The following is a 15,753-nucleotide window of genomic DNA, read 5'->3' as shown; positions in this document are numbered from 1 at the left end:
CCCTCCTCTGGGGCTCCCACCTCCCCTTCACCCGCGGGGGACCCGATTTCCGCGTCTCCTGGGCCCCTCCCTGGGCAGGGGGTCCAGCCGGAATCCAGGAGTGACCTGCTGGAGGACTTGGTGGCCAGGGAGTCACCCTGGGAGCCCGGTCCTGTGACCCCTTAATGGTTTCTCTGCGCTCCTGGGCGGGCCCCTTGGTCGCATCGGGGCAGGGGAATCGCAATAAGGAAAGTGTAATTCACGCAGAGCCGGCTGCGGGGGAGACGGGAGTTTTATTATTACTCAAATCCTTCTCCCCAAAAACGTGGGGATCCGAGTTTCGAAGGATGATATGGTGGGTAGGCGGCCAGTGAGTCAGGAGCGCTGACCGGTCCGGTTGGAGATGAAGTCTTGGGGAGTCGAAGCTGTCTTCCCAACCCTAACCCAGCTCCTCGGTGGGGGCCACAGGACCACATGAGCAAGATTGTGGATAAACCTGACCACGTTTCAGGTTTTTTTCTATCTACTGGGAGACTGCCTTTCCTTGGCGCTGGTTGCTACCAATTATTATTTTAGAGAAACAGTGCAACAACCACCTGACCATCACCTGAGGGGTCGCCTGACATTCCTGGTTGTGGGTGGGAAGCGCTCTCCTGTCCTGCTCAAGCCGGAGGAGCTACCTGCTGTAACAGTATCAGTGAGAAGAATTATTATAACTGTGAGCTGAGCTAGCCCACCCACAATCTTGCCTTTCCTTTAATTATTCCTGGTTTTTGGGGCCAAGCTGACTTTGAGAGACATTTAGGCTATAGTTTAAATGACAACAGGCCTTGTGTGAAACTCAGCAGCTCATCATGATTGAGGACTAAACTCTGATTTTTTATCTTGCCCAAATTCCTACCTAAGGGGCTTGGGGAGTCATGCCCTACAAACCATAAATTCTCATCAGATGGGTTTTATTTAACCACGTATATCATGACTTACTTTCCAACCTGGCCCTGGCAGAACATTACGATATGAGGAAGAAAATAAAAATATTTTGCCCCAAAACAAGTTTCTTTGCCATATTTTGAAATGGCCCCGGCAAAGCTGTTCTTTGTAGGGGGAAATTTGCAGCTGTAAAGAATCTCTATTAACATAGCTAAATCTTTTTCTTCCAGACCCTCCCAATCCTGAAGAGATTAACAGTCTAGCACCTTTTAGGAATAGGAAACATTCGTCATCTATTGTCTCTAAGGGCAGCCACTATAAGACTTCAAAAGAACTTTGGTCTCCATAATCTTTATTTTAACCTGAACACCCCCTTTCTACCAATCCCAGGTCTTTAGACAAACTCAAGGACTCAATCGTCAACCAGAGGATTAAATTCACCTGTAGCCTGGGGCACTGCGCCGCCCCCCCACCCCCCAGCTTTGTGTTGTCCCGCCTTTCCCGACCAAACCAATGTATTTTTTTTTCAATGTATTTCTTAAATGTATTTCATTGATGCCTCATGTCTTCCTAAAATATATAAAACCAAGCTGGGCCCCGACCACCTTGGGCCCATGTTCTCAAGACCTCCTGAGGGCCGTGTCACGAGCCACGGTCACTCATATTTTGGCTTAGAATAAATCTCTTCAAATATTTTACAGAGTTCGACTCTTTTCGTCCACATAATTTAGAGCTTAAGATTGGCCTTTTGAGATTCCCCCCCTTTTTCTTGCGTGCCTGACTCCCATGGCTCCCCTTGGACCTGACAGCTCCTGCGGCCCCACCCGGGAGGGGCGACTCAGCTCGAGGACAGAAGGGGTTTATTAAACCCCTTTTTTTGAGACGCAGAGTTCTCTGTCGCACAGGACAGGGCGCGTGGCGGGATCTCGGCTCACTGCAGCCTCCGCCTCCCAAACCCTTTCTTTACCGCAATGTCCTCGCGGGCAGGAAGGCCCCTCCAGCGGTTGCAAAGGGATGCCCGCAGCACACACCCTCCCGGTGGGGAGGGACGCCCGCCGCACCCAGAGTCGGCCGGTCCCTTCGCCTCTCAGTCTCCGCCCTCTGGGAGGCAAACTTGTCCACGCCGGGGTCAGCCTGGCCGGTCCCCCGGCACCCCGCGTAGGGCACGTGTGTCCTCCGGCGCCTCCCGCCTTGGGCTCGGCGTCCTACCCGTCCCTCCCAGGAGGGTTTCTCCCGCTGTGAACGCACCGCGCGTGGCCGCATTCTCCCGACAGAGAGCACCTGCGCCGTGCCTGGTCTTGCCCTTTTCCAGAGCCCGCGGCCGGAGTCTCCCCTGCAGAGGAGGAGAGGCCCAAGGCCGCTGCGGGCCTGGCACGGGCTGCTGTCCACGGGCACCCGAGGAGTCCGCGGCGAGGAGCGGCCAGGCCGACCAGCTCTGCTCCCGCGGGTGCCGTCTGGGAAACTTCTCGGCTCCCGCCTCTCACCTCCCCGCGGCCCGCGCACCCCCGACGCCCGTGGGGACCGGGATCTGGCCGCGCTGCTGGGCCGTGGCGAGCTGGCGTTCGGCGCCCGGGACCCACGACGCGCCCTGCGTCTCCGACTTCGTGATGCCTCGGACTTCCCGTCACATTTCAAGACTGCGGGATCCCGGGGCCCTCGCTGGCTGCACCAGAGGGGTCTCCACCTGGCGGGACCCTCTTCCCGAGCTCCCGCGGGGCTCCCGGTCGGAAGCTGCCCTCCCAGGCCCTCGCGAGCGCCCCACCCTCGGGCCATTGGCTGCCCCCACCCCAGGGGAGCAGGGAAGATGCCGGCTGGACTGGAGGAGGCAGCTGCTAGGATCCAGCACACCTGGATCACCCAGGAGAGGCTGCAGCCCTGAGGTTCCTTCAGCTGCTACCCTAGGAACAAAGCCCCTGCCCCTCCCACAGGGCCTAAGGTGCACACATCTGCAAGACCAGCTGCCCAGCCAGCTCAGAGGCAGGTTGTCCTGGCCCAAAGGTATTCTGGACAGTGTGTCCTTACCTTGGTGTCAGAGAAATGCCCACCCCACGTTCCTGGTCCAGATGCTGCCCACAGCAGGAGGCGGAAACCAGCAGATTCTGAGCATATCCCTGCTCCCCTGAGAGCTTCACAGAGGAGGGATACGGCTGTGCAGGGGCTGAGCACTGGGCTGTCTCAGGACTAGGCCGGGACCCCTCAGCAGGGCCCCCACTCCAGATGAAGTCACAGCATCATCACAAGCACGTGCACTTTATTGAATGACACTGTAGACAGGTGTGTGGGTATAAACTGCTGTATCTAGGGGCAGGACCAAGGGGGCAGGGGCAACAGCCCCAGCGTGCAGGGCCAGCATTGCACAGTGGAGTGCAAAGGTTGCAGGCTATGGGCGGCTACTAGTAACCCCGTTTTTCCTGTATTATCTGTAACATAATATGGTAGACTGTCACAGAGCCGAATACCAGTAACAGGATGAATCCAATGGTCATGAGGATGCCCAGAATCAGGGCCCAGATGTTCAGGCACTTGGCGGTGGAGGCATAGGCCTGGGCCCCGGTCACGTCGCCAACCATCTTCCTGTCCCTAGACTGGGGGAGAGGAGATGGTGAGGGGACCAGGATCCCCCAGCTGAGAGCCGCGTGCTATGGCTCCGTCTCCTCCCCGCCCTGAGATCAGGGACCACCTCCTCCCCTTCCTCACCCGGGCTCAGACTCTCCAGGAGCCTCGGGGCTCATCCTCCTTCTGCCTTGGCCCCAGCACAGGCTGTTCTCCCCACCATGGGGTGAAGTCACCTGTGAGTTCCCTTCTCACTTTCTGGGAGAGCCTGGGTGCCAGTCTGGAAGGTGAGGGTGTAATTTCTTACTGGGCTATAGGGAGAATTGCTCTGGGCTAATGGATAGCCAGGGACAGACTCTGAGCCAGCCAGCCAGCCTCCTGGAGCCTCCTCCTAGACCTGCACTGGGCAGATTCCCCAAAGCCACACACACACACAGATCACACAGACAAAGCTACTGACGTGAGCACACACGGGGCAGAGGTGCACACAAACTCACAGTCACAGGGACACACAAGTCCCCACCCCAGGCAGCATGTGGGCAGGTGGAGCCCCAGGCTCACCGGCACCCCCTGGATTTCCGCCAGGGCCATACGCACCTTCACGGAGTAGGCGAATGCTATGAAGCCCAGACAGCACCAGTTCAAGAAGAGGGTGTTGAACAGGGACCAGACGACATGGTCGGGCACGGAGGTCTCGCTGTGGATGTTGATCACGGTGGACCTTGGAAGGATGGTGCTGGGGGGTGGCCCCAGCACAGCCACCTCATGTTCCTCCTTGTGCATCTTCTGGCTTTGGGGAAGGAAGTGTTGAGTGAAGGTTTGAGAAGTGTGGTTTTCTGCGTGGAGCGAAGGGCCGCTGTGGTGTCCGGATGCTGGGACGGTGCTCAGTGAGACCTCCTTTCCCCTGTCGTTTCAGTTTCTCAGAAGTGTGTATTTCTCTTAAGTTTCTATTTCCTGCTGTTTGTAAATTGGTGAATTAGCCAGGGACCAATGAGGTGTGGTTTAACTTCTTGAGGATCAAATTACTTTATGGCAGGGTGGGAGGAAAGGCTGAAGGCTAAGGAGAGAGGCTTCCTCATCAGAAACTCAAGTCAGGACTAGTGACTTCCTAAGTGTTGGGTTTAGGGGGCCCTGGGGATTTTACCCAGGCTTGGGTTCTGTCCACCCCAGGCCAGCAAGTACAGGACCTCACTGTCCCGGTTCAGGGCCCCTGCCAGGCCCCCACACTCCAGGCGCCAGGACAATCCCCCAAAAGCCCTCACCTCACTTGTCGCAGGCCTCTCTCCTGAAATCCTTGCTCTTTCCTCAGGCTGCAGTCCTGCTCTGTGCGGGTTTGGGGACTAAACCTCCCAGTGTCTCCTGGTGCAGGTCAGAGGCCTGGTGGCCAAAGTTTCCTGCCCCAAAGCAGCCCTCCAGGCCCAGGAACGGGGACTCTGGGGAGAACTGACTCCCCAGAGGGTAGTGTGTTGAGACACGGGGAGGATTCCAGGGCCTGTAGGGGCAGCTTCAGAGCACAGGGCACACATGTGCCACCCCCTACCTTCCGGGTCCCAGCAATTCCCATGGCTTTGGTTGGGGTGAGTGCTGGATGACCTAGGCGTTGGGTCCTAGCCATGCAGGAGAGACCTGGAGGGTTGGCAAAGCCAAGTCTGGGGCTGTCAGGCCTGGGTGCCCCTTCACAGGGACGGGGAATTGTAGACTGAGTAGCAGAAGGGAGCCCTCAGGCACAAGGATCATGAATTACAAATTGCAAATTACATAAAGGAAAAATCAGAGCCCAAAGGTGGGCCTGCAATTATTAATGTAATGTTCTTAAGTTCTCTTTCTGCTTTCGTTTCTGCCTGCTTTAAGTCTGCTGTTACTTTTCTACAGAGATAAAATCCACTGTTTGCATCCAACCATTTCTTTTTATTGTTTGTGTAAACCAATGAATTTGTATTACTATCTCATGGCTGGAGTTCTGAAGTAAAACCATACTTTTGCTTGAGTGTGTATGTGTGTATATGTGCACATACACATATTTCGTTATGTGTTTTTGGCCACAAGTTACCAAATTTAGCTTAAACTTAAAGAGTACTCATAAATTAAATAATAAGCCTAAATGCTTTTCACGTTCATGTGACTTAAGTAGAATCTTTAATAAGCTAGCTTTAAAATTACTGGTAACGTTAGAAATTGTAGCAGGACGAGCCACAGACAAAACCCTCAGACATCGAGTTGAGGAAAGAAAGGGCTTTATTTGGCCTTTATTCGGCCAGGAGCATCAGCAGACTTAACATCTCAAACACCGAGCTCCAAAACCATCAGCCCCTCCCTACCCATTGCAGCTAAAAAAAAAAAAAAAGAACTAGCCCTTGCCCTTGCTTGGAGTCCCTGCTGGGCCTCCCCAAATCGCACACCAACCCCCCCACCCTCCACCCACCCCTCAACAGGCCGCCTCCAGCCCCAGCCACATCCCAGGCCACTTAGACCAAACTATGTCTGGGTCCCGGCAAGCCAGGGGTGGATGTGGATGGAGCGTGCTCTGAGACATCGAGGACTGCCTACACAAACTCCTCACAAGGCTCTGTGACCTCCTATCAAAGGCCACACATCACTGCGGAGTGGGGTGGGGCTTGAATTTCCCGTGGAAGGTATTTTGGAAGCTTCTTTAAATCACGGGCAGTTTAGGAAGGAAGAAACTGCAGGGCACAAGAGGGAGACAGGATTCTGAGGGGCAGGCATGGAACTGAAACCACCTTTGCAAAAGTCATAACTGAGAATATGATGACAGTGAAGGAGGTCTGACCCTAACCCACTCCGCCTGGCTTCTAACCTCCAAGCTGCCCTTGCTCATCCCTGGGCTTAGCCTAAACTAATCTGGAGAGAAACAGTTTATAGATCAAGGCTGAACAAGCCCCCTTCCTACCTGAGGACCAGACTGCCTTTGCAGGACTAACAAATTAGCCACAAGATTAGAAATTATGGTTTAGGAGTCACGCGGCTGGAGGATGCAAGATTCTGACCCCGCCACCCCTAAATTGCTCCCGGGGATCACAGCACTACTGTAGAACCTAGGATCAGAGTTTGAGATACTTTACAGACCCTGTACTCAATGGATCAGCTGGCACCACCTAAATCCACAATCTTGCTCATGTGGTCCTGTGGCCCCCACCGAGGAGCTGGGTTAGGGTTGGGAAGACAGCTTCGACTCCCCAAGACTTCATCTCCAACCGGACCGGTCAGCGCTCCTGACTCACTGGCCGCCTACCCACCATATCATCCTTCGAAACTCGGATCCCCACGTTTTTGGGGAGAAGGATTTGAGTAATAATAAAACTCCCGTCTCCCCCGCAGCCGGCTCTGCGTGAATTACACTTTCCTTATTGCGATTCCCCTGCCCCGATGCGACCAAGGGGCCCGCCCAGGAGCGCAGAGAATCCATTAAGGGGTCACAGGACCGGGCTCCCAGGGTGACTCCCTGGCCACCAAGTCCTCCAGCAGGTCACTCCTGGATTCCGGCTGGACCCCCTGCCCAGGGAGGGGCCCAGGAGACGCGGAAATCGGGTCCCCCGCGGGTGAAGGGGAGGTGGGAGCCCCAGAGGAGGGCGGGAAGGCTCGGCCGGGGACGTGCCCGAGGGGGAGGAGAGGGGCTCCCGTCCGGGTCCGGCGCTGCGGGTCTCAGGGTCCGCGTCCCGCCCACCCCGCGGGGGTCTGGGCTGCGGGCGGAGCCTCCTCCGGGACCTGCACCTGCGCCGGCCGCCGCCAGGGGCGCCGCTGAGCACCCGCCTCCGCCGCTTCCCCCTCCCCGCCGGGCGGGGCCGCGCGCCTCCCACCCGGGACCCACTTCGGAGTTCGCCCCCTTCGGGACTCGCCTCCGGGAGACCCCCGAGGGGGAGAGGGCGCTTCCTCCGCGTCCATCGCCCTTGCCGCCCCTGGGGTGAGAGCGCGGCTCCGGGGCTGGGGGCGGGAAAGGGTGGGGAGGGCGAGTAGATCCAGACCTGGAGTCGCGGGTGGACGGCGGGGCGGGGGCGCGCATGGCCACCCCAGCTCCCACCGCGGCCGCCCATGGGGCACCCCACATGCGCACACCGGAGACCGAACCGGGGAAGGGCGCTGTAACCAGGTCGGGGCGGGGGTGTCTGTCCGGGGGCTCAGACCCGGGTAGAGGTAACTTAGATGAGGGTCGCTCCACTCTCCTGCGCCGCCCCCACCACGGGGGAGCAGGGCCCATACCCGCTGGACGGGAGGGGGCAGCTGCCACGAAGCAGCACCTGGTCACCCAGGAGGGGCTGCGAGGCCCGGGGCTCCTTCAGCTGCTGCCCTGGGCACAAAGCCCCCTCCCTCCCACGGGCCCTGAGCTGCCCACATCTGCAGGACTGGCTGCTCCAGACAGCTCGGAGGCAGGCAGCGCGGTGCCCCCTCCACCCCCGAGGAACTAAAGCCAGGTCCCCAGCACCACAGAGCAGGGCCTGGGAGCAGCTGGGGAGCCGGTGCCACCTTGCCCCTCCCTGGCCCTGCTGGGGGCTTAACCCTTCCCTCTGTCCTGAGCCGACAGCCTGGATTGCCGACAGGCCGCGAGCGTGGCCTTGGGCCCAGGGTGTCCCGGACTCAGCACTGACGTTCCCGGAAAGAGCCCACGTTGAGTAGGAGCTGAGACCTGCAGGACACAGGAACTCCTCCCAGGGTCCTGGATCCAGCTGCTGCTCACGGCAGGAGGCCCGAAACCAGAAGGCCTGAGCACTTGCCCCGTCCCCAAGAGATGCACAGAGGCTGGAAGGGGCAGTGCAGGGGCTGACCAACCTGCTCATGAAAGGAGGGTCCAGCTGGGCTTCCTGGGTCGAGTAGGGGTTCAGAAAGCTGTGAAACACTCATTTCCTGCATCAGGACTTACTTCGGTCCTGGATGAAGAGTACTGAAGATACATGCCTAAAATATTCCTAACACCAGGATTTGTGCATGTGTTTCCTTCCCCAAGAAAGCTATAAACAGCAAAAATTCTGCTGTAAGCTTCCCTGTGTCCTCTCTCCCTCTCTTCCTTCCCCCTCCCCTAAAACTAAAAGGAATGTTAAAAGACCCTTTTTCTGTGACCAGCGGACCTTATCTATGCTCCCAATTCCAATTCCTTGTGAACATACTTTGTAAAGTCCTGTAAAATCCTGTCTCTTTTGCCATGCTGCTGCAAGGTCATAAAGTAGATAAAATTAGATAAAACCTAAGTTGCAATTCTGTTTTTCCTCAAAATCTAAGACATGTCACAAAATAATTTACTGCCTTTGTTTCTCTCTCTGGTAACATCTTCCCACCACATGTATTTCCCGCCTTAAAGAGATTAAAAGGCAATCACCCAAAACCAACAGTGGCTACCCTCTCCGGACCCCTTCCATGCTGTGTAAGCTTTGTACTGTCACTCTGCTCAATAAAACCTACAGTTTTTTTCTTCTCTTGGTCTGTGTCTCCATCACTCGCCGCGGGCAGCCGCCACACCCAATTCTTTGGTGTGGCTAAGGCAAGAACGTTTGGCATTACATTTAATCTCAGAACCAGCAGGACCGCTCCCCAGGTGAAGTCACAGCAGCACCAGAAACATATACACTTTATTGAATGCCATTGTAGAAAAGCGTGTGAGGATAAAGGGCTGATGCAGGACTCGGCTGTGGGGACAGGGCGAGGAATGGAAGGTGGAGTAAGTGGAATACAGGTCAAGGGCAGAGCTCCTGGCCTCTGGGGGCAGGGCGAGGAATGGAAGATAGAGTACGTGGGATACAGGTCACGGGCAGAGCTCCTGGCCTCAATGATGCCTCCTGATCTATCGCTGGGCCTGGACGACCAACACTGGGATGATGATGAGCAGAATGGTCATGAAGATGCCCAAAATCAGGGCCCAGATGTTCAGGCACTTGGCGGTGGAGGCATAGGCCTGGGCCCCGGTCACGTCGCCAACCATCTTCCTGTCCCTAGACTGGGGGAGAGGAGATGGTGAGGGGACCAGGATCCCCCAGCTGAGAGCCGCGTGCTATGGCTCCAGCTCCTCACTGTCTCCTCCCTGCCCTGAGATCAGGGACCACCTCCTCCCCTTCCTCACCCGGCTCAGACTCTCCAGGAGCCTCGGGGCTCATCCTCCTTCTGCCTTGGCCCCAGCACAGGCTGTTCTCCCCACCATGGGGTGAAGTCACCTGTGAGTTCCCTTCTCACTTTCTGGGAGAGCCTGGGTGCCAGTCTGGAAGGTGAAGGTGTAATTTCTTACTGGGCTATAGGGAGAACTGCTCTGGGCTAGTGGATAGCCGGGGACAGACTCTGAGCCAGCCAGCCAGCCTCCTGGAGCCTCCTCCTAGACCTGCACTGGGCAGATTCCCCAAGCCACACACACACACAGATCACACAGACAAAGCCACTGACGTGGGCACACACAGGACAGACGTGCACACAAACTCACAGTCACAGGGACACACAAGTCCCCACCCCAGGCAGCATGTGGGCAGGTGGAGCCCCAGGCTCACCGGCACCCCCTGGATTTCCGCCAGGGCCATACGCACCTTCACGGAGTACGCGAATGCTATGAAGCCCAGGCAGCAGGTGTTCATGAAGAGGGTGTTGAACAGGGACCAGACCACATGGTCAGGCACGGAGGTCTCGCTGCGGATGTGGATCACGGTGGACATCGGGGGAGCAGGGTTGTGGGGCACCCCCAGCATAGCCACTTCCTGCTCCTCCTTGAGCATCTCGTAGTTGGGAGGCTGGCCGCTGTTGACAGGAGAGAAGGTTTGCACAATGTGGTTCATGGTGACCAGCGGTGATCGGGTTACCGGGATGGTTCTCAGTGAGCCCTCCCTTTCCCCAGTAGTTCCGTTTTCTCAACAGTTTCCTCTTCCTGGCATTTGTCAAATGCAGAGCTGGCCAGGGCCAGATAAGGGCAGAACAAATTCCTGAGGATCAAATTACTTTAGGAGAGGGAGGAAAGAGGGGCTGAGGGCTAAGAGGGGCTTCCTCTCTAGAGCCCAAAGGAGCACAAGTCTCATCTTGTTAGTGGTGTGGGGTCCTGGAGACTTCCCCTGTGTTGGGAGTCTCCACACCCCAGGCCAGCAGCTGCAGGACCTCACTGTCCCGGTTCAGGGCTCCTGCCAGGCCTGCGCTGACGCCTCCACACTCCAGGCCCCACAACCGTTTCCCCAAAGCCCTCACCTCTGCCGGGCGCCGTGGCTCACGCCTGTAATCCCAGCACTTTGGGAGGCTGAGGTGGGAGGATCATGAGGTCAGGAGATCGAGACCATCCTGGCTAACACGGTGAAACCCCGTCTCTACTAAATATACAAAAAAAAATTAGCCGGGTGTGATGGCGGGCACCTGTAGTCCCAGCTACTTGGGAGGCTGAGGTAGGAGAATGGCGTGAACCGGGGAGGCGGAGCTTGCAGTGAGCCAAGGTTGTGCCACTGCACTCCAGCCTGGGCAACAGAGCCAGACTCCGTCTCAAAAAAAAAAAAAAGCCCTCATCTCACTTGTCACAGGCCTCATCTGCTGACATCCCTTGTCCTTTGCTGGGGTTGCAGTCCTGCTCCATGCGGGTTTGGGGGTTAAAGGTCCCCGTGTCTCCTGGTGCAGGTCAGAGGGTTGGCGGCCAATGTTGCCTGCCCCAAAGGAGCCCTCCAGGCCCAGGAAAGGGGACTCTGGGAGCACTGACAGAAGAGGGGGCTGTGGGATGCCAATAGCAGAGACCTGGACGGTGGAGTTAGAAGCCATGGCCCTTTCCCCTGGAGGCCCACCTGGGTGACGGCTCCCAGACCCGCTCCACACAGCCCAGCAGCACCCACGCTGCCCAGAGCTCTGGCTGGCTGGTCCCTGGGGCACCCTCCAGATTTCCAGGTTCTGATCATCTCTGCCTCTTCCCTGGGTCCTCACACGGGTGCCAGCTGCTTCCTGTAGTTGCCGCCTGTTTTTCCCATGAACCGGTGCTGCCTCTGAGCAGCTCCTGAGGTTACAGCCTCCCTGTGGAAACACCTTGTGTGGCCTCTGGGCTTCTTCCTGGACCTTCCTTGGCAGAGGCTATTGCAGCAAACAGAGCTGATGCTGTGCACTTGAGCTTGTCAGAGGGGACAGTGCGGGTCACAGGGGCAGGAACGTGGCCTGCAGGCCTATGTGCACCGCGACCTGCGCCCTGTTTAATTCCTGATGTGCTACATGGGCCCATTTTCCTGGGCTTATTCTCCCACCAGGCCAGACTCCGCAGAGGACATCGCTGAGGGTGGAATTTACAGAGATGGGCAGCTGCTCACCCTGCTGTAGCCTTTCACCTCAGCGGGTGGTCAGGTCCACGTCAGTATTCCAGAGTTTACATGACGGTAGCGTGCAGCCGTGTAACTGCAGAGTGATGTGTTTGAGTAACGATGACTTTGGCTCTATAAGATAAATTTTATTGATAATTTCTAAGATTCCTAAGATTTAACTTTAACAATGGCTGTGTCTACCATCGACTCACAGTGCTTCTCGACGTCGAACACCCTAAGTCCTCCTCCTTCTGCTGGCTGGGGTGAGCTCTAAGGGCTTAGCCATGTCCAGGCCTCTACAGGCCTTCTATTCTGGGCCATGTCTCCCCCACACACAGAATGTCCTGGGATCTGTGTCTAGCTCTGCCGTGGGGACACCTCCCCTCTTCGTGGTCTGAAGCCCTCCTGACTGGACTGGAGTGCTGACTGAAAACCAAAAATAAAAATCTAAGCCTCCCCTGCCCCCATGACTGAATGGAGCTCCCTTGGCCAAGGGGGTCCCAAACAAACCTGAAAAACTGAATTCACAGCCTCGAAGGGACAGGGAGGTTGGACAGGCCTACTTATATCCCCTCCCTGTGGAGTTTAGGCACAACCGACCAGCATTAACACTGAGATGGAGCTCATAGTACTGACAAAACAGACTCTTCGTAGCAATAAGGTACCAAATTCCAACTGACTGTGGTACAGCGTCACATGACAGTGTAAACCCTAAATATCTGAGAAAGTTCTCAGTCGATTTAGGACCAAGGTTAAGGATGAGCGGGTGACACAGCCTCAGGAGGTCCTGACAGGGTGCGCAAGATGATCGGGGCACAGCTGGTTTTATACATTTCAGGGAGACATGGACATCAATATATGCACGACGCTCATTAGTGCAGTCTGGAAAGACGGGACAACTCGAAGTGGGGAGGGGGCTTCCAGGTCATAGGTTGAGAAGAGACAAAGGATCGCATTGTTTTGAGTTTCTGATGAGCCTTTGCAAAGGAAGCAATCAGATATGCATTATCTCAGCGAGCAAAAGGGTAAGTTTGAGTTCCATTTGTCTTTTGTCCACAAGGAAATTCCCTGTGGACAAACTGTGAGGGAGGTATATAGCTTTTTGTTTCGGCAGCAGCCGTTTTTAGGAGTAGAACGGGAGGCAGGTGTCCCTAAGCAGTTCCCAGCTTGACGTCTCCTTTTGGTTCAGTGATTTCGGGGTCCTAATATTTATTTTCCTTTCACAACAAATAGCAGGCTCTGAAGGAAATAAAAATTATTTACCCCCAAAATATATGTATTTTTATTTTTGAGACGGGGCCTTACTGTGTTGCCCAGACTGGTCTCCAGCTCCTGGGCTCAAGTGATCCACCTGCCTCATCCTCCCAAAGTGCTGGTGTGAGCCACCATGCACAGCCTCAAAATATATTTATTTGGCATATTTTGAAATGGCCTTGCACAACTGTCTCTTATTAGGGAAATTTGCATTCTGGAGAGAATCTCCTTCCCTTTCTAGGTCTTTTCCTATAGAACAGACATTTAACTAAGAGCCCTTTTTAAGGGTGGAAAAGAGAGATTTTTTTTATCATCCTTGTCTCCAGCCTGCCACCTGGAGGCCTCATCTGCATAACAAGCCCCTTGGCTTCCACAGCCCCGGTTATGTAAACTCAAGAATTTCTTTCGACTAACCAACTCTTTAGGCAAAGCTGAACTTTTTTTTTTTTTTTTTTTTTTTTTTTGGAAACGGAGTCTCGCTCTGTCAACCAGGCCGGACTGCAGTGGCGCGATCTCGGCTCACTGCAACCTCCACCTCCCGGGCTCACGCCATTCTCCTGCCTCAGCCTCCCGAGTAGCTGGGACTACAGGCGCCCGCCACCAAGTCCTGCTAATTTTTTGTATTTTTAGTAGAGACGGGGTTTCACCGTGTTAGCCAGGATGGTCTCGATCTCCTGACCTCGTGCTCCACCCACCTCGGCCTCCCAAAGTGCTGGGATTACAGGCGGGAGCCACCGCGCCCGGCCCCAAAGCTGAACTCTTTAAGCCAGCTGCCCATCAGAAAATCTTTAAATCCACAAAATGAGACAGAATAATATGGAGCGGCTGCGGGAGAACAGAACATTCTAAGCAGCAGCCTCGCATGACTAGCAAAAGAGACTGTTGAGGTTGCTGCAGAAGCGAGGGGCCGATGAGACCTTCAAAAGCAGTGTGGGCCAAGCTGGCTAAGACAGACCAGAGCCACCACGGCGCTGAATGCGACCTATGCGTCCCCTAGGACCTCCTCATAGGAACGTACTCGGCCCACACCCACCCGCACCGCGACACTTCCAGGAACACACAGATCTGCTGTAAACATGGCGGGCGCTCGGCCAAGATGGCGGCCTCCGCGTGCGGCGGGTGGCGGGTGGCGGGTGGCCCCGGGTGCCGTCCCGGGGCCGAGAGCTGCCTTGCGCGGGGCGGGCCCCGCACACCTCCGCGGTCTGTAACAAGAACCGGCGGCCCGAGTCCGCCGAGGCCAGGGGGACAAGCCGGTGACCTATGAGGACGCACACGCGCCGCACTTCGTCGCCCGCCGTGAGGGCCAGAGGTCGCTCACGCGGGGAACCCTGGTGGGGAGGACCATGCGGCGGAGCGAACGGTGGAGGATGCTTTCCGTCGCAAGTTCATGTGGGGTGCCTTCCCGGGCTGCCTGGCTGACCCGCTGGTTTTACAGTGCTGGGCCAACCGGTTGGAGATCTGTGCCCTGGTCCCGAGGCACTTGCCTGCCCGCAAGTTCTACTTCCTCGTGGGCTACAGTGAAACTTTGCTGTCCCACTTTTACAAATGTCCTCTGCCACTCCACCTCCAAACTGTGCCCTCAAAGGTTGTGTATAAGGACCTGTAGGACGATCCCTTTCTTTTGCATCAAGCTGTAGCCTGCAGAGAAGGGAAACGTGGGAAAGAAGTGGTACGCCGGGGGGAAAGGCGTCCCTCAAGAGGACTGAGGCATGGTCTCTCAGCTGCTATCCAATAAAGACCCTCTATGTTGTCTTGAAAAAAAAAATGCAAGGCACCTCAGTTCTGAGAAATCGTCACCTTCTTGCAAGAATCTTCATGATACTCCCCCGCTTGGTGAAAGAAACCCTGAAAGATGGAACCCCCACCCAAACCCCTTGCAAGTGACTCTCTCGAGTCTCCGCCCACACGGCCCTTTCTTGAGTGTGTACTTTTCACTTCTCTTTTTTTTCTTTCTTTCTTTTTTTTTTGAGAGGGAGCCTCGCTCTGTCGCCCAGACTGGAGTGCAGTGGCGCGATCTCATCTCACTGCAACTTCTGCCTACCCGGTTCAAGTGATTCTCCTGCCTCAGCCTCCCGATTAGCTGGGATCACAGGCACGCACCACCGCGCCCGGCTAATTTTTGCATTTTTAGTAGAGACAGGGTTTCGCCATGTTGGCCAGGCTGATCTCGAACTCCTGACCTCAGGTGATACACCCGCCTCAGCCTCCCAAAGTGCTGGGATTACAGGCGCGAGCCACCGCGCCTGGCCTTCACTTTTCAACAAATCTCCCTACTTTCACTATTTTCGGTCTCGTCCTTGAATTTTCTTCTTGTGCCAAGAGCCTGGACACCCGTGGGGGTCCAGGTCCCACTGGCAATTGGGGACCTCCCCAAGCCCACTGGTATCACTGTGACCTGTGACCACACCCCTTTGAGATGTCTTGCCTTTCCTGGCAGAAGCAATGTACACCTTACTCGTGAGGACTAAACTCTGACTTTTTTATCTTGCCCAAGTTCCTATCAAAGGGGTCTGGGGAATTTACCTACAAATGGTAAATTCTCATCAGATGAGTTTTGGTTTTCGTTTGTTTGTTTTGTTTTTGTATTTTCAGTAGAGACAGGTTTCACCACGTTGGCCAGGCTGGTCTCGAACTCTTGACCTCAGGTGATCTGCCTGCCGCGGCCTCCCAAAGTGCTGGGATTACAGGCATGAGCCACCATGCCCGGCCAACCAGATGAGTTTTATTTAACCCTATATATCGTGACTTACTTTCCAACCTGACTCTGGCATAACATTATGAAACAAGGAAGAAAATC

The 15,753-nt window shown here is 55.8% G+C and overlaps 2 protein-coding genes and 1 pseudogene across 2 annotated transcripts, besides 16 other annotated features; 1 reads left to right on the top strand and 2 right to left on the bottom strand.

Annotated features, from left to right (window-relative positions):
* Positions 396-755: an enhancer, noted in NCBI's record as "active region_4267". NCBI's record gives its function as "activates an Ori minimal core promoter by ATAC-STARR-seq in GM12878 lymphoblastoid cells {active_cell/tissue: GM12878}" and the evidence as "EXISTENCE:reporter gene assay evidence [ECO:0000049][PMID:35858748]".
* Positions 1,100-1,655: an enhancer, noted in NCBI's record as "NANOG-H3K27ac-H3K4me1 hESC enhancer chr11:316761-317316 (GRCh37/hg19 assembly coordinates)". NCBI's record gives its function as "activates a minimal SCP1, AML or CMV promoter by ChIP-STARR-seq in naive H9 embryonic stem cells {active_cell/tissue: H9 hESC(naive)}" and the evidence as "EXISTENCE:reporter gene assay evidence [ECO:0000049][PMID:30033119]".
* Positions 1,803-1,852: an enhancer, noted in NCBI's record as "active region_4266". NCBI's record gives its function as "activates an Ori minimal core promoter by ATAC-STARR-seq in GM12878 lymphoblastoid cells {active_cell/tissue: GM12878}" and the evidence as "EXISTENCE:reporter gene assay evidence [ECO:0000049][PMID:35858748]".
* Positions 2,063-2,112: a silencer, noted in NCBI's record as "silent region_2996". NCBI's record gives its function as "represses an Ori minimal core promoter by ATAC-STARR-seq in GM12878 lymphoblastoid cells {active_cell/tissue: GM12878}" and the evidence as "EXISTENCE:reporter gene assay evidence [ECO:0000049][PMID:35858748]".
* Positions 2,303-2,462: a silencer, noted in NCBI's record as "silent region_2995". NCBI's record gives its function as "represses an Ori minimal core promoter by ATAC-STARR-seq in GM12878 lymphoblastoid cells {active_cell/tissue: GM12878}" and the evidence as "EXISTENCE:reporter gene assay evidence [ECO:0000049][PMID:35858748]".
* Positions 2,703-2,752: a silencer, noted in NCBI's record as "silent region_2994". NCBI's record gives its function as "represses an Ori minimal core promoter by ATAC-STARR-seq in GM12878 lymphoblastoid cells {active_cell/tissue: GM12878}" and the evidence as "EXISTENCE:reporter gene assay evidence [ECO:0000049][PMID:35858748]".
* Positions 3,023-3,112: an enhancer, noted in NCBI's record as "active region_4265". NCBI's record gives its function as "activates an Ori minimal core promoter by ATAC-STARR-seq in GM12878 lymphoblastoid cells {active_cell/tissue: GM12878}" and the evidence as "EXISTENCE:reporter gene assay evidence [ECO:0000049][PMID:35858748]".
* IFITM1 (interferon induced transmembrane protein 1) lies at positions 3,144-4,376 on the bottom strand. Its single transcript, NM_003641.5, has 2 exons — positions 4,060-4,376; positions 3,144-3,494 (listed from the first exon to the last, which is right to left on the bottom strand). Exons 1-2 carry the CDS (start codon positions 4,243-4,245, stop codon positions 3,303-3,305), a joined length of 378 nt encoding a protein of 125 aa, NP_003632.4. The 5' UTR covers positions 4,246-4,376; the 3' UTR covers positions 3,144-3,302.
* Positions 3,383-3,542: an enhancer, noted in NCBI's record as "active region_4264". NCBI's record gives its function as "activates an Ori minimal core promoter by ATAC-STARR-seq in GM12878 lymphoblastoid cells {active_cell/tissue: GM12878}" and the evidence as "EXISTENCE:reporter gene assay evidence [ECO:0000049][PMID:35858748]".
* Positions 3,880-4,435: an enhancer, noted in NCBI's record as "NANOG-H3K27ac-H3K4me1 hESC enhancer chr11:313981-314536 (GRCh37/hg19 assembly coordinates)". NCBI's record gives its function as "activates a minimal SCP1, AML or CMV promoter by ChIP-STARR-seq in naive H9 embryonic stem cells {active_cell/tissue: H9 hESC(naive)}" and the evidence as "EXISTENCE:reporter gene assay evidence [ECO:0000049][PMID:30033119]".
* Positions 4,073-4,412: an enhancer, noted in NCBI's record as "active region_4263". NCBI's record gives its function as "activates an Ori minimal core promoter by ATAC-STARR-seq in GM12878 lymphoblastoid cells {active_cell/tissue: GM12878}" and the evidence as "EXISTENCE:reporter gene assay evidence [ECO:0000049][PMID:35858748]".
* Positions 4,436-4,991: an enhancer, noted in NCBI's record as "NANOG-H3K27ac-H3K4me1 hESC enhancer chr11:313425-313980 (GRCh37/hg19 assembly coordinates)". NCBI's record gives its function as "activates a minimal SCP1, AML or CMV promoter by ChIP-STARR-seq in naive H9 embryonic stem cells {active_cell/tissue: H9 hESC(naive)}" and the evidence as "EXISTENCE:reporter gene assay evidence [ECO:0000049][PMID:30033119]".
* Positions 6,261-6,866: an enhancer, noted in NCBI's record as "H3K27ac-H3K4me1 hESC enhancer chr11:311550-312155 (GRCh37/hg19 assembly coordinates)". NCBI's record gives its function as "activates a minimal SCP1, AML or CMV promoter by ChIP-STARR-seq in naive H9 embryonic stem cells {active_cell/tissue: H9 hESC(naive)}" and the evidence as "EXISTENCE:reporter gene assay evidence [ECO:0000049][PMID:30033119]".
* IFITM2 (interferon induced transmembrane protein 2) lies at positions 9,021-10,600 on the bottom strand. Its single transcript, NM_006435.3, has 2 exons — positions 9,978-10,600; positions 9,021-9,403 (listed from the first exon to the last, which is right to left on the bottom strand). The coding sequence occupies exons 1-2, from the start codon at positions 10,221-10,223 to the stop codon at positions 9,251-9,253; spliced, it is 399 nt and encodes a 132-aa protein (NP_006426.2). The 5' UTR covers positions 10,224-10,600; the 3' UTR covers positions 9,021-9,250.
* Positions 9,220-9,419: an enhancer, noted in NCBI's record as "active region_4262". NCBI's record gives its function as "activates an Ori minimal core promoter by ATAC-STARR-seq in GM12878 lymphoblastoid cells {active_cell/tissue: GM12878}" and the evidence as "EXISTENCE:reporter gene assay evidence [ECO:0000049][PMID:35858748]".
* Positions 9,440-9,559: an enhancer, noted in NCBI's record as "active region_4261". NCBI's record gives its function as "activates an Ori minimal core promoter by ATAC-STARR-seq in GM12878 lymphoblastoid cells {active_cell/tissue: GM12878}" and the evidence as "EXISTENCE:reporter gene assay evidence [ECO:0000049][PMID:35858748]".
* Positions 9,940-10,359: an enhancer, noted in NCBI's record as "active region_4260". NCBI's record gives its function as "activates an Ori minimal core promoter by ATAC-STARR-seq in GM12878 lymphoblastoid cells {active_cell/tissue: GM12878}" and the evidence as "EXISTENCE:reporter gene assay evidence [ECO:0000049][PMID:35858748]".
* Positions 12,082-12,593: an enhancer, noted in NCBI's record as "OCT4-NANOG-H3K27ac hESC enhancer chr11:305823-306334 (GRCh37/hg19 assembly coordinates)". NCBI's record gives its function as "activates a minimal SCP1, AML or CMV promoter by ChIP-STARR-seq in naive H9 embryonic stem cells {active_cell/tissue: H9 hESC(naive)}" and the evidence as "EXISTENCE:reporter gene assay evidence [ECO:0000049][PMID:30033119]".
* Positions 14,040-14,706, top strand: MRPS24P1 (mitochondrial ribosomal protein S24 pseudogene 1; annotated as a pseudogene).

Source organism: Homo sapiens, chromosome 11 (genome assembly GCF_000001405.40).
Source record: "Homo sapiens chromosome 11, GRCh38.p14 Primary Assembly".
Lineage (NCBI taxonomy): Eukaryota > Metazoa > Chordata > Mammalia > Primates > Hominidae > Homo > Homo sapiens.
This window is presented reverse-complemented; position numbering and strand designations above follow the sequence as displayed.

Bases quoted from the DNA above. Each gene is read 5' to 3' on its own strand.
- IFITM2 (NM_006435.3), bottom strand. From the start codon at position 10,223: ATGAACCACATTGTGCAAACCTTCTCTCCTGTCAACAGCGGCCAGCCT. The intron at 9,404-9,977 runs GTGCGTATGGCC...CCTCTCCCCCAG, and splicing joins CATTCGCGTACTCCGTGAAG to TCTAGGGACAGGAAGATGGT.
- IFITM1 (NM_003641.5), bottom strand. From the start codon at position 4,245: ATGCACAAGGAGGAACATGAGGTGGCTGTGCTGGGGCCACCCCCCAGC. The intron at 3,495-4,059 runs GTGCGTATGGCC...CCTCTCCCCCAG, and splicing joins CATTCGCCTACTCCGTGAAG to TCTAGGGACAGGAAGATGGT.